The 15,769-nt window shown below is 36.3% G+C and overlaps 1 protein-coding gene across 28 annotated transcripts in view; it reads right to left on the reverse strand.

The window, feature by feature from the left end:
• Positions 1-15,769, reverse strand: part of GOLGB1 (golgin B1) — an 86,766-nt gene that overhangs the window by 39,685 nt on the left and 31,312 nt on the right. For all 28 annotated transcript variants that reach the window (XM_047447994.1, XM_047447992.1, XM_047447989.1 and 25 more), the window contains 3 exons: positions 15,503-15,616; positions 13,852-14,254; positions 11,976-12,091 (listed from right to left, as the gene is read on the reverse strand). In XM_047447994.1, the coding sequence (XP_047303950.1) occupies positions 11,976-12,091; positions 13,852-14,254; positions 15,503-15,616 (633 nt within the window). The remainder of the gene's footprint in view (positions 1-11,975; positions 12,092-13,851; positions 14,255-15,502; positions 15,617-15,769) is intronic.

The following is a 15,769-nucleotide window of genomic DNA, read 5'->3' on the forward strand; positions in this document are numbered from 1 at the left end:
AACATTTTCAGGTTCACAAACAAATAGTATTACAAGATTAGATTAATGTCACCAAGTAACATGGTCTCTCTCCTGAAGGAGAATGAACATGAAGAGAGGTTCCACAAAGAGGAATAGAGGCAAAGGAATATGTACCTCTTAAGAAAGGAAGAAGATTTATAAAATTGTTTTTTGTTTTCCAAGTATAATAAAAATTCCCTTGGCTTAATTTATACATCCAGAATTTTTGGTTTTCCTAAGGATAGGCATATATCTAATTATGTCACATCTTTAGTTTTATGTCTTTGTATATATTTTTTATTCTCCATGGATATTATTCTATAAAATTTTCATACAATTGTAGAATTTTTAAGCCATGAGGGTCTTTACAGCATATTTGACCCCGAAATCTTCATTCAATGTTTAAAATAAATAGCATGGGATGAATTTAGGGTTTTTATGGCTTTTATCTTGAGGGAAGTTCCCAGTTTGCAGTATGCAGGGCAAGTAAAATTCCAATAGAATAGCCACAGATATTTCTGGCTTGAAGAATGAGAAGAGTTTGGGACAAACATAGCTGCCAGGATGTGAGGAGGGAGATCAGAGAGAAGAAAAAGAGTTAGGAAGGAGGAGCCCTGAATTCTGTGTATAAACTTAGCTGAAATTTCTGACTGAACAATGGCACAATGTATTTGTTGGACTGACTTAAAGCAGCCCAGCTAAGGCAAAAATAACTGAACTGAGTTTTGATGCCTCTCTATCATAGGCCAGAGTTTGGGGTTTGAGTCCAACTTACTGTCTGATAAAAAGTAATTGAAATTTTAGAAATAACAAAATAAAATCTTGAGAACAAAACACGACATCCAGAATTCAAAACAAAACCATTCACACATAAAGAAATAGGAAAGAGTGACCCATTCTCAAGGAAAAAAAATATAATCAACAGATTCTAGCCATAAAATGATGCAGATTTTGTAAGTAGCAAACAAGAATTTTAATAAAGAAGCTATTATATCTATGCTTAGGACATAAATGAATATGCTCATAATGAATGAGAAGAAAGGAAATCTTAGTAAAACAAACAAAAAAAAATAATGAACCAGTTTGAAATTCCAGAACTAATAAACATAATATCTGAAATGAAAATTTCAATGTGATAGGCTTGACAGTAGAATATAGACGACAGAAGAAAGTCTTGGTGAATTGAGGATGATAAATCAACTGAAATTATCCAATCTGAAGACAGAAGAATAAAAAAAATTGAAAAAAAAAATGAATACAACCTCAGGGACATGTGGGACAATATTAAAAGGTTCAATATACGTGTAATTGGAGTACCAGAAGAGACGAGGGACAGAATGGGAAGAAAAAATATTTTAAGAAATGGCCAAAAATTTCTCAAACATAACGTTATATACGTAAGAAACTCAACAAAAGCAAGCAAGAAAATGACAAAGAAAACTATAACTAAGTACTTCATAGACAAGGATAAAAGGAAAGTCTTAAAATTTCCATGGAAAAATGATACTTTACATACAGAGAAACAATAATTCGAATGACTACTGACCAATTGTTAGGGAAAAAATATAGGCCAGAAGAGGGAAACACCTTCTTTAAAGTACTGAAAGAAAGGCTGGACACAGTGGCTCACGCCTATAATCCCAGCAGTTTGGGAGGGCGAGGCAGGTGGATCATCTGAGGTTGGGAGTTCAAGACCAGCTTGACCAACATGGAGAAACTCCGTCTCTACTAAAATACAAAATTAGCCAGGCGTGGTGACTCACGCCTGTAATCCCAGCTACTCAGGAGGCTGAGGCAGGAGAATTGCTTGAACCCAGGAGGCACAGGTTGCGGTGAGCCAAGACTGTGCTATTGCACTCCAGCCTGGGTGACAAGAGTGAAACTCCATCTCAAAAAAAAAAAAAAAAAAAGTTCTGAAAGAAAAATTGTCAATCGAGAATTATAATATCCAGTAGCAAATATCATTCAAGAATAAAAGTAAAATAAAGACATTTTTAGATAAGAAAAAAACTAAGAAAATTTTTTCACAGACAGACCTATACTATAATATTATAGGTTGTTGTAGAGGCTGAAGAAAACAGTATCAAATAGATATCTGATCATCAGAGAGGAAAGGGCATTACAAATGGTAAATATGTGGATAAATGTTAAGGTCAATATTTTCCTCTTAATGTCTTTCAAATATATATAACCATTTTAAGCACAAATATTAAAATTGTGTGCTGAGGCTTATTACTTTTGTTAATATAATACATACAACAACTGTGGCATCAGGAATAGGGTGAGGGTATATGATTATGAAGATTCTACCTTTTAAGTGAAGTAGTACAGTATTAACTCAAGAAGACTGAAAAATTATGGATATATGTTATACTTCCTAGAATAACCACTTAAAAAATTTTTGTAAAAAGATACAGCTCAATACCCAATAGATGACTTTTGCTTCTGCTAAAGACTGAGTAACATGGAACAGATTTAACCTCCTACCTGAAACAATAACAACCAAAACCAGACAAAATAATAAATAATCATTTTCAGAATACTGGATATCAAGCAACAAAGGATAATTATCTCTGAGAGAGGCAGAAAACAAAGTGATCCCTAAAACTGACCAAGCTTCATGCCTTAAGAGAGTTTTCAGGCTGTGGTCCAAGAAGGGGGAACATAGGCTGAGCCTGGTAGACTCCCTAAGTTCATGAGACAGAGCTGACAGTCAAGAAAGAGCAAGATGGCTGCAGTTCGCAGAATAGAATACCAGATGGGAAAAAGTCACGTAAAGAGAAAACCCTGCAGATCTGCAAAGGGACTGAACAAGTGTTCAGTGAAGTACAGGGCAGGACATGAATGTGAGGAAAGCATCCAAGGCTATCTGAACTACCCCTACCTATCTGAAGAGATTAAAGAATAGCACTTGGTGCTCACACAAAACCCGGAAGTGTCAGTTATATAGCCAAATGTGAAAAAACACTTCTCAGGGCATTGAGTAGAATACTCAGCAAGGTCTTGCCTCAGGAGTATCGAATGACTGAGCACTGATTCGAACCCTCCTAACAAATCAAAGCAGCAGGATCTGAAAGGACCAAGTTTTTTTCAAAGAATTTAACTGAGTCGCATAAAAAAAGCTCCAAAATATGTTAACAAAACAAATATAGAAACAAAGGAGAATCACTTGAACCCCGGAGGCAGAGGTTGCAGTGAGCTGAGACTGCATCAATGCACTCCTGCCTGGGCAACAGAGCAAGACTCCATTTCAAAAAAAAAAAAAAATTAAAAGCCCATTAATGAGTTTTGGAACAACTTCAAGTAATCTAATATAAATGTAATTGGAATTCCCAAAGAAGAGTAGGGAGTCAGAAAAATATATATATTTGACTAATTCACGGCAGAAAATCTTCCAAAACTATAAACACAGAGATTGAAAAAGCTCAATGAACCCCAATCACAAGAAACATGCTATGTCAAGGTACATTATAATTCAAGTGCTCAAAAACAGTGGTAAAATCCTAAAAGCAAGCAGGAAAAAAGAGAGAAGCATGACAGCAGATTTCTTATTAAAAACAAAATGCAAGGGCCGGGTGCAGTGGCTCATGCCTGTAATCCCAGCACTTTGGGAGACTGAGGGGGTGGATTGCTTGAGACAAGAGTTCGAGACTAGCCTGGCCAACATGGCAAAACCCCATCTCTACTAAAAATATAAAATTAGCCAGGCGTGGTGGCGGTTGCCTGTAATCCAAGCTACATGGGAGGCTGAGGCAGGACAATCACTTGAATCCGGGAAGTGGAGGTTACAGTGAGTTGAGATTGCGCCACTGCACTCCAGCCTGGATGACACACTGAGACTCTGTCTCAAAAAAAAAAAAAAAAAAAAAAAAAACCAACAAAGAAAACAAAATGCAAGAAAGAAGACAGTAGAGTAATACACTTAGAGAAATGAAAGAAAAAAAAACTTTCAATGTAGAATTCTAGTCAGCAAAAAATAATCTTTCAACAACAATGGTGAGATAAAGATGTCTTCAGACAAAAAGTGTTATTAGAACCCATGACTGGCCAGGCACGGTGACTCACACCTGCAATCCCAGCACTTTGGGAGGCCGAGGCGGGTGGATCATGAGGTCAAGAGATTGAGATCATCCTGGCCAACACGGTGAAACCCCGTCTCTACCAAAAATACAAAAACAAAACAAACAAAAAAATAGCCAGGTGTGGTGGTGGGTGCCTGTAGTCCCAGCTACTCGGGAGGCTGAGGCAGGAGAATCACTTGAACCCGGGAGGCGGAGATTGCAGTGAGTCAAGATTGCACCACTGCCCTCCAGCCTGGTGACAAAGTGAGACTCCATCTCAAAAAAAAAAAAAAAAACAAAAATAAAAACAAACAAACAAAAAAACCCATGACCAGCAGACTTGCACACACATCCATGTACACACAGACACAAAAATTAAAAGAAGTCCTTCAGAGCCAGGTGCAGTAGCTCACACCTGTAATCCCAGCACTCTGGGAGGCCAAGGCAGGAGGATCATTTGAGCTCAGGAGGTTAAAACCAGCCAGCCTAGGTAACTTAGCAAGACCTCATCTCTACTAAAAGCAAAAAAAAAAAAAATTAGCTGGGTAGCATGGTGCATGCCTGTAGTCACAGCTACTCTGGAGGCAAATATGGAAGAATCGCTTGAGCCCAGGAGGATGAGGCTGCAGTGAGCCATGATCATGCCACTGCACTGTAGCCTGGGTGACAAAATGAGAACCTGTCTCTTACTAAAAAAAAAAAAGAAAAAAAAAAAGTCCTTCAGATAGAAGAAAAATGATACCAGATGGAAATATGAAGCCAGGGTTTGGCAAACTTTGGAGGCCTGCATAAATAAAGTTTTATTGGAACATAACCACAACCATTTGTTTACCTTGGCTCTATGTCTGTTCTCACTTTACAATGGCAGAGTTGAGTACCTGCAACAAAGACTGTATGACCCACAAAGCCTAAAATATTTACTATACATAAAAGGATTGGCAATCTCTGATCTACAAACGAAGAATGAAAAGTACCAGAAATGGTAACTGCAATGGTAGTTAAGATTTATTTTCTTATTTTAATCTCCTTAAAACATAAACATAAATGCTTTATATGTATTAGCCAAAAACTGTCCACAACCCAAATTATCCATCAATGAGTCAATGGTTACACAAATTGTGCTGTTTACAACATACTCAACAATACAATGGAATGAATTATTACTAAACAAACATTAGGATGAATCTCAAATAAGTATGCTGAGTAAAATAAGCCAACAAAAGTGCATATACAACTTATATAAACTTTTTAAAAATCTATAATGACAGAAAGCAGATCAGTGGTTGTCTAGGTAGGGAAAGATGTGAGGGAAAAGATTAAAAGAGGACATGAAAAAACTTCTAGAGATGATGAATATGTTCATTTTCTTGATAGTAGTGATGGTTTTATATGTCATCAAATTGTTCTGGGTGCTATGGCTTATACCTGTAATCCCAGCACTTCGGGAGACAAAGGCAGGAGGATCACTTGAGCCCAGGAGTTAGTTTGAGGCCAGCCTGGGCAACATAGTGAGACCTTGTCTCTACAAAAAAAAAAATTTGCCAGGCATGGTGGCACATGCCTGTGGTCCCAGCTATTCAGGAGGCTGAGGTGAGAGGATTGCTTGAGCCCAGGAAGTTAAGGCTATAGTGAGCTGTGATCATGTGACTGCACTCCAGCCTGGGTGAGAGAACAAGACCCTGTTTCAAAAAACAAATGAACAAACACACAAAACCCTCTTTAAACTGTATACTTTAAATGTGTACACATTACTGTATGTCAAGTATACCTTTTTATACTTAATAGAGCTGTTTAAAAGAAAAAGTTGTCAATAAATGAAAATTAAATTCAAGAAACTTCTAATTATCGAATAGAAGGCAGGAAAAAAGAAGAAGGGAAAACAGAGGGGAAAAAACAGAAAGCAAAATGGTAGACCTAAATCCAATCACATCAATAATTACATTAAAAGGACTAGGCACTCCAATCACAAAGAAGAGAAGAAATAAAAAAGTATAACCCAACTATATGTTGCCTTCAAGACATTTACTTTAAAGAAAAACAAGTTAAAAGTAAAAGGATAGAAAAGAATATACCATTCAAGCAATAAACATAAGACAGAATTATTTTATTAATGCCAGATACAGAGAAATGTAAATAAAGAAGTATTACTACAGATAGAGTAACATTTTGTAAGTGAAAAAAGGAACACTTTATCTGAAAAATAAATGTGTATGTACTAATAACAGAGATTCCAATTACCAAGAAGCAAAAAATGACTACATTAAAAGGAGAAACAGACAATTCCACAGTCATAGTTGGAGATTTCAACCCCCTCTTAGCAAATGTTTCAATAACCAGACAAAAGTCAAAGACAAAGATAACGTGAACAATACTATGATCTAAGTGCTATTTGTAGAACATTACATCCAATAACTACAGAATACACACTATTTACAAGTGTACAAGGTATGTTCACCAAGACACCATATGCTGTGTCATAAAATAGGTCTCAATAAATTTCAAAGGATTGAAGTCACATAAAACATATTCTCTGATCATAATGAAATTATATTAGAAATCAATAAGATATCTAGAAATAAAACCAAGTATCTGGATATTCTACAACAACGTGTTTATTTAGAACACACTTCTAAACAATCCATGGTCAATGAAAAAATCACAGAGAAACTTAGAAAAATGTTCAAAAACTGAAATGATTAAAAAACCACAACATAACAAGCTATGCTTAGAGGGAACTGTGTTAACTTTAAATGTTCATATGAGAAAAGAAGACTTGAAATCTTTGATACAAAGTTTCACCTTAAGAAGCTATAAAAAGAAGAGCAAAGTAAATCCAAGTAAGCAGAAAGAAATACTAAAGAGTAGAAATCAATGAAAATGAAAATAATCAGCAACAGAGAAAATTAACAAGACCAAAAGTGGTTCTTTGAAAAGATGGGGGAAAAAAGCTGAATAAATTCTAGATAGACTGATGAAGAAAATGAAGCACAAATTAACAACAGCAGGGATCAGCGCTTACAGGCATTAAAAGGATAAAAAGTAAACATTGTAACCAACATTATGACAAAAATAGAACATTAGAACATCTTCAATGAAATAGACAAAACCCCAGGAAAAAAAAAAAAAGCCCAAACAAACCAAAACTGGCACCGGGTGGAAAAAAAAAAAAAAATCTTATTATTAGCCTTATATCTGTAAAGGAAATTCAATTCATTATCAAAACCTTCCTAAAACTCCAGACTCAGATGGTTTCATTGGTGAATTCTTTTAAAAAAAAGTATTTAAAAAATTATTTTCAAAAACCGAAATAATACCAATCACATACAAACTCTCATAAAATAGAAAGAAAGGAAACACTCCCAGAAAATAGAAAAGGGAACATATTATGAGGCTGCCATACCCTTAATACCAAAACCTGATAAAGATATCATAAAACAAGAAAACTGTAGACTAATATCCTTCATAAATAAGAACACAAAAATCCTTCACAAAATATTAGCAAATCAAATTCAGTACTATAGAAAAAGGATAATACAGTTAACTCTTGAATATGGGTTTGAACTACATGAGTTCACTTATATATGCACATTTTTTTCAACAAATGTATTGGGGTTGGGTGTGGTGGCTCATGCCTATAATTCCAGCATTTTGGGAGGCCAAGGGAGGGGGATTGCTTGAGTCCAGAAGTTCTGTACCAGCCTGGGCAACATGATGAAATTCCATTTCCACCAATAAATAAACAAACAAACAAACACATAAAAATAGCCGGGCATGGTGGCATGTGCCTGTAGTCCCAACTACTTAGGAGGCTGAGGCGGGAGGATCACTTAAGCCCAGGAGGTTGAGGCTGCAGTGAGCTGTCATCACACCACTACACCCCAGCCTGGGTGATGGAGTGACTCTGTCTCAAAACAAAAAAATAAGTAAAATTTTAAAAAAAGAAAAAAAAAAGGCCAGGCGCAGTGGCTCACGCCTGTAATGTCAGCACTTTGGGAGGCCAAGACGGGTAGATCACCAATGGTTAGGAGGTATGGTTAGGAGTTTCAGACCAGCCTGGCCAACATGGCAAAACCCTGTCTCTACTAAAAGTAACAAAAATTAGCCGGGGGTGTTGGTGGACACCTGTAGTCCCAACTACCTGGGAGGCTGAGGCAGGAGAATCACTTGAACCTGGGAAATGGAGGCTGCAGTGAGCTGAGATCACACCACTGCACTCCAGCATGGGCAACAGTGAAACTCCATCTCAAAAAATAAATAAATAGAAAAATTTTTAGGAGGATTGCTACAACTAGACATTTGTTATTACTCATAGAAGAATCACATAGCCTAGAAATATAAAAAAAAAATTAAGAGAAAGTTTATTTTAAAAATTAAGAAAAAATTAAGAAATATCAAAAAAACTAAGAGAAAAATTCCTCTACAAGATTGAGGATGATCTGATAGAGGAAATTCCTTAAAAACCTAAAACTAGTATCACAGCCAATGGTAAATTATGGAACACTTTCCTCTTAGATTAGAAACAATGCAAGAAAGTCCAGTCTCACCACTTCTATTAAACAGTGTACTGGAGGCATAAAAATTAGAAAGAAGTAAAATTTGTCTTTATTTTCAGATGACATGATTGCTTACATAGAAAATCCTAGAGAATCTACAAAAAGAGACTAAAACCAATAAAATTAATTTGTTTATCAAGGTCACAGAATATAAGCTTAATAAAATTCAGTTGTATACTTACATATTAGCATACATTGGAAAATGAAATAAAAATAATTCCATCTATAATAGTATCAAAAATATTAACTACTTCAGAATAAATGTTATAATGTGCATAATTTCTCCAATGAAAACTACAAAACACTGCTGAAAGAAATTAAAGATCTAAATAAATGGAGAGATATACTATATTCGTAGATTTAAAAGTACAGTAGTGTTGTCAATTCTTAAACTGATCAATAGACTCCACACAATACCAATTCAAAATCTCATCTGTCTTTTTTTAAAAAGTAGAATTTGAGAAGCTGATTGTATAATTTATGTGGAAAGGACCTGGAATAGTCAAAGCAATCTTGAAAAGAAGAACAAAGTTGGAGGACTTATACTATTAATACTTGACTTCAAGACTAACAACAAACTACAATAATGAAGACCGTGATACTGGCATAGGGACTGACAGATAGATCAATATAACAGAACAGAAAATTCAGAAATAGATGTATTAGTCTTTGATTTGCAACAAAGGTACCAAAAGAATCCAATGAGGAAAGTAAAGTCTCCTTACGAAATGGTGCTGAAACAACGAAATATCCGTACAGGAAAAAACAAAACAACTTGACCTTCACCTTACAACACACACAAAAATTCATTTGAGATTCAGAGACTTCAAATGAAAACTAAAACCATAAAGCTTGTGGAAGAAAGCATAAGAGAATATCTTCATAAACTGGGGCTAAGCAAAGGTTTCACAGACAGGACACAGAAAAAAAAAACAATAAAAAATGATAAATAATTAAGCTCATCAAAATTTAAAAGTGTGTGCTAATGAAAAGATATCATAATGAAAATGAATAGGCAAGCCACAAAGCCACAGCATGGGAGAAAATATTCACCAAACATATATGATAATAGATTGGCATTCAGAATATATAAAGAATTCCTACTTGATAATAAAAAGACAACTCAAATTTAAGAATGGGGAAATGATGTGAACAGACACTTCACCAACAGAAGGTGTACATATGGCTAAGAATCTCAAGAAAAAAAGTTCAACATAATTTGTCATCAGGGAAATGCAAATTTAAACCACAATGAAATACCACTACATACCCATTAGAATGGCTAAAATGTTTTAAAACTGACACCACCAAATCTTGGAGAAGATGTGGAACAAATGGAACTCTCATATATTTTAGGTGGGAGTATAAAATAGTACAACCACAGCCAGGTGCGGTGGCTCATGCCTGTAATCCCAGCACTTTGGGAGGCCGAGGTGGGCGGATCACGAGGTCAGGAGTTTGAGACCAGCCTGGCCAACATGGTGAAACCCTGTCTCTACTAAAAATACAAAAATTAGCCGGGTGTGGTGGCGGGTACCTGTAATCCCAGCTACTTGGGAGGCTGAGGCAGGAGAATTGCCTGAACCCGGGAGGTCGAGGTTGCAGTGAGCCGAGATCGCACCACTGTTCTCCAGCATGGGCGACAGACCAAGACTCCGTCTTGGAAAAAAAAAATAGTACAACCACTTTGGGAAAAGACCTGGCAGTTCCTTATAAAGCTAAATACATAGGTACTCTATGACCCAGCAAAGCAATTCCTCAACTAGTATTTACTGAAGATAAATGAAAACATATGTCCACATAACTATTTGTATGAGAATGTTCACAGCAGTTTGATTCATAATAGCCAAAGCATGAAAAAGTCCAGGTGTCCATCAATAGGAAAATGCAGTACAATCATGCAAAAGGAAAATTCAGCATGTTCATAAAATAAAATACTTCTCAGCAATATTAAAGATTAAATTATAATACATGCACAATATGGATGAATCTCCAAATATGCTGAGTAAAAGCTTTACACATAAGAGGACCTATTGTATGGTTAAATGTATATGATGCTGTGAAACAGGCAAAATTAATCTATGGTGAAAAATCAGTAGTTGTCTTTGGAGGGGAAGGGTGAGGATGACTGTAAAGGGGTATAGGGATACTTTGTGAGGTGATGGTAATGTGATATATCTTGAATAGGAGTTTGGGTAACACAGGTGTATGCATTTGACAAAACTCAAGGAATGGTATACTTCAGATCTGTGCATTTAAAGGTTTGTAAATCTTACCTCAAAAGAAAAAGAACAATTATAAATAAATATTAAAATATAGTCAATGATATGAATGCTGACAAATTTAGAGAGAAATGTACTGATGTCCACAACTTACAGTGAAATGTATTATAAATTTAAGATGAACTGATGGATGGGCAGAGGGATGAATAAATAGATAGACATTTGATAAAGCAAACGTGCTAAAATGTTAATGATAGAATTCAGATGGTGGGTATACAGATGTTCGCTACAAAACTCTTGCAACTTATTCGAATGGTTGGAAAACGTCTTAACAAAACATTGGAGGAAAAAGTCGAGAATGGGAGAACAGAAGAGACTGGAAAGCCTAGATGCTAGAAACCAAGAGGCAAAAATTTTTATCAGTGGACAGCATAGCCCAGGAATGACAGGACTCTGCTGACCAATATGTTTGTGAGTTTGGAAGGGTATAATCTTACAATGGAGATGACTGAATCTAGTTATCTCAACTTGACATTAGTCAATTAAGAACATCAAACTAACTGCCTTCATTCTGATATTCAGGCTCAATCAGCCTGAATCAGCCTTCGATGATTACAATCTAGCTCTCTACAGAGATTTTTGTAGATGAAAGAAAGAATATACTGGCCAATAAGAAGCTACTTGGCCATTATATACTTTTTTACTGTTAATTAATTAATGGGAACAATATGATTTCCATAGTAGACTTTTAAGTTTGATTAGACTGACTCGTGTTCACTAAACCTGATCAAATCTTAGTTTACCAAAAAAAAAAAAGACTTCCGAACTGGGAAAATTAACTACAGAAGCAAAAGTAATGATTCATCTCCGATACAAATTGTTAAGACCTTAGAATCAGAAAGGCTTCTGAGACCATGGTATTTGTTATCTATTATTTTCTCATTCTTTATTGTTGAAACACTGCATTAATGCCTTTCATGATTCCTTTCAAATAGAATTGTCCTCAAAAAAGTATTTTTTCAGGCAGAAAAAACAGAAGGTTTATATAGCTCTCTGGAATAAATCCTCATTAGAGCACCGAAGTACAGATACAGCAAAGACAAACAGTTAATATTCATAAGAAGTTCACATTTAATTACCTGTGTGCCCTCATTATAAACATCTGGGAAAGAAGTCTGAGATGCTGTTTCATGTTGTTGCAAGGGCAGTCTATTTAGAAATTGGCTAATTTCTTTGGATTTTTGCTGGAGCTGATCTAAGGAAAAGAAAAAAAATAAATGTAATATTTGCTTCAAGTCTGAAATGTAGTTATTATTATCTTCTAAAGATACACTGTATGCTGTTTACTAGTTTAGTTTCCTTAGTTAAAATTATGATGCCAATGACAACATTATTATTAGCTAAATGTTAAATGTTCTCAAGAACCAAAGGACACCTCAGTAAATCACTTCCTTCAAAAGTAAAATAAAATAGGCCTAGGCACTTTTTTTTTTTTTTTTTGATACGGAGTCTCCCTCTGTTGCCTAAGCTGGAGTGCAGTGGTGCGATCTCGGCTCACTGTAACCTCTGACTCATGGGTTCAAGGATTCTCTTGCCTCAGCCTTCCAAGTAGCCAGGATTACAGGCATGCGTCACCATGCCTGGCTAATTTTTTTTTTTTTTTTTTTGTATCTTTAGTAGAGATGGAGTTTCACCATGTTGGCCAGGCTGGTCTCGAACTCCTGACCTCAGGTAATCCCCCCCACCTTGACCTCCCCAAAGTGCTGGAATAGCAGGCGTGGGGAGGCCTAGCCCTAGGCATTTTTTACAAGTTCATTTTCCCTTTCCCCCTTGAAAATGGCTTTAGGGTTTTTGTTTTCTTCACTCTCGACTTAGGTATTATGGATCCCACCAAGATTCCACCACATGGTTTTAAACATCAGCATGCTTAAGAGAACAGCTTGCTCATGTAACACCCTGGTCTTGTGTGATGCCCTTCAAAACTGTCTGGCTAGGGCACAATGGCTCACGCCTGTAATCCCAGCACTTTGGGATGCCGAGGCGGGCAGATCACCTGAGGTCAGGAGTTCGAGACCAGCCTGACCAACACGGAGAAGCCCTGTCTCTACTAAAAATACAAAATTAGCCAGGTGTGGTGGTGCATGCCTGTAATCCAAGCTACTTGGGAGGCTGAGGCAGGAGAATCACTTGAACCCAGGAGGCAGAGGTTGCAGTGAGCCGAGATCATGCCATTGCACTCCATCCTGGGCAACAAGAGTGAAACTCTGTCACAAAAAAAAAAAAACAAAAAACAAAACTGTCTGGCTAACATTCAGTTATTCAATACAAATTTTCAACTTAATTGTTTCTAAAATCTTTCCTTTATGTCTATGTCAATATATTAGTAAAGGTTATAATTTGGGGAAGAGGATTGGTGAGATGGAGTATTGGTGTTGAGGAAGTTTCACTTTTTAATTTATAAAGTTCTAAAATGTTCAATTTTTTATAGGCACATATTACTTTTATAATAACACATTTTTTAAAAGTTTCCTTTATACCTTCATAAAGGATAAATTTTCACCTGTAAGACAAGAAATCAGGTGAAAAGAGATTTTCACCTATAAGAAAAGCACTGAGATCCATCCTTCTTCAGATTTATGGATAACTCCATGCAATTTAGTCTCCTAACCTATGCACCTAGATCTGGCCTGAGTTTTCCAAAAACTAATTCAAATCCTTCTCGTTTCAGTCATTGAATCCTTCAGATCAGTCATATTTAACATAGCATTCTATTTAATATCTGGAACATCACTATCACATTTTTAGTATTGTAATGATAATTATAATATTAAGAAAGATTATAGCCAGTCAGAGGCAAGAAAAATGCATCAAGAAGTTCAGAAGAGCTGTTTTTCTCAGTCCTTCTATTGGTTCAATTGGTTTGAGTACAGATTTCATTAACAGATCCCTGAAAATATGAAATACAAGCCACTCAGATGGTAGAGATGTGGACTTCAAAAGCAATCAGCTACTGACCTTCCAGTTGCTGAATGGTCTGGGCTGACTGAACTGCTTGCTCATTCTTATCTTGGAGAAGCTTTGAATTTTGATCCTTTAGAGCATCACAGGCAGACTGCAGCTCTTGTCCAGTCTTTTGAAGACTCAAAATATGAGAGGTCTTCTCTTCCATTTCTGCTTTGTGCTTCTGCTCCAAAGCACTATACCGAGACTCTAGTTCAGCCTGGGCTTGGCCTGCTTGCTCAAACTGTTCTAAAAGATGATGCATTTCTTCCTGCAGATTATGGAAGGATAATTTTCTCTCTGCCACTTCAAGTTCCATCTTTTCCAGTAGAATCTTGGACTCCTCTCTTTCTGTTTCCACAGTGTTCCTCAAAGTATTATGCTCAGCTTCCATCTGCTGTAACTGCTGAGAGAGAATCTAAGAAAAAAGACAAAGTCTCATGAGCCATAAATACATTATTTCATTTCAACAAGCATTGTAAAGTGCTTTTTCTTATAGGATGGAAAAAAATGGGAACATGTTTCTATGCTAGAGAGAAAGCCCTTCTCAAGAAGGAGAGTTGAAAATTAAGAAGAGAGGAGATGGCTGACTCCCCAGCAGCACACAGGCACCCAGAAAAACAAACAGAGAATGTGGACTATAGCACCAATTCTGCATTATGATGAGACTACTTGGATGTGACAGGATAGGAACACAAGGAATCCAAGGGGTAGAAAAAAGGTAGTTCAAACTGTCAAGCATGGGTCCATATAGGACACAGAAAGGAGCAAGGGTAAGGAAGAATTAACATACTAGAGAAGCAAAGTGGAATTCAATGGAATTCAATGAGAATGAAGATCAGGACAATATGAGAAAGAAAATGGCAGGATGGATTATAGTCAGATCAGCATTACTGATTACCTTCATACTCAAGAGAATATTGCAGAACGAGATCATTTCAATCTAACAGAAGGTCAATTTACAAAAACAAGAAAAGATGGGCTGTACATAAAGCACAAAAACCATTCAAGACAGAGAAGAGTAACTGATGAAAAAGAAACTCACTAAAGGATAATACAGGTCAAGTATCCCTTATTCTAAATGCTTGGGACCAGAAGTATTTTAGTTTTCCATTTTTTTCAGATGGTGGAATATCTTGGATATCTTGGGATAGGACGCAAGTCTAAACATGAAATTCATTTGTTTCATATACATCGTATACACATAGCCTAAAGATAATTTTATACAGTATTTTAAATGATTTTGTGCATATTTGCCTTTGATCTGTTACCCTGTTCCACAAGGTCAGTTGTGGCATTTTCCACTTGTGGTGTCATGTTGGTGCTCAGAAAATTTCAGATTTTGCAGCATTTTGGATTTTCAGATTAGGCATACTCAATCTGTATGACATTCTAGATAAACTAGGACCCTAGATCTAAAATGGCAAAGGGAAAGAGCAACAATAAAGAAGTGCAATGTATGCTCCATGAGGGAAAGAACTGTATTTAGTTTTGCTCATAATTGTACTGCATCCCCACCACTTAAGTACGAGGTATTTGTTGAAAGAATGAATAAATGGCATCAATTCTCTGAAGACTTTAAATAGGCTTTTATATCTACTGCCTGGCAAACGAAAGTGGAAATGAATACCCTCCAAGGCAGGAAGTAAAGATTAAAAGGCAGTACCTGGTTTCTCTGCTCAGCAGCAGTCAGCTCCTGTTGCAGCAAGTCAACGACCTGAGCACGGCCCACCAAGGATTCTTCGTGTTCCTCAAGCTTCCTTTGCAGCACCCTCAATTTCTGAGAAGAAAACATTTTAGACATAATATGCTAACAAATGAGTGCTTGTATTTGCTTATCTTTCAAAATGTCATGTAGATTTGTATACTTAAATTTTGGGGTGTTGAAAATGACAGTTTAAAGAGTGGGAGACCAGCATGCCATGCTCCCCCC

This window comes from Homo sapiens, chromosome 3 (genome assembly GCF_000001405.40).
Source record: "Homo sapiens chromosome 3, GRCh38.p14 Primary Assembly".
NCBI lineage: Eukaryota > Metazoa > Chordata > Mammalia > Primates > Hominidae > Homo > Homo sapiens.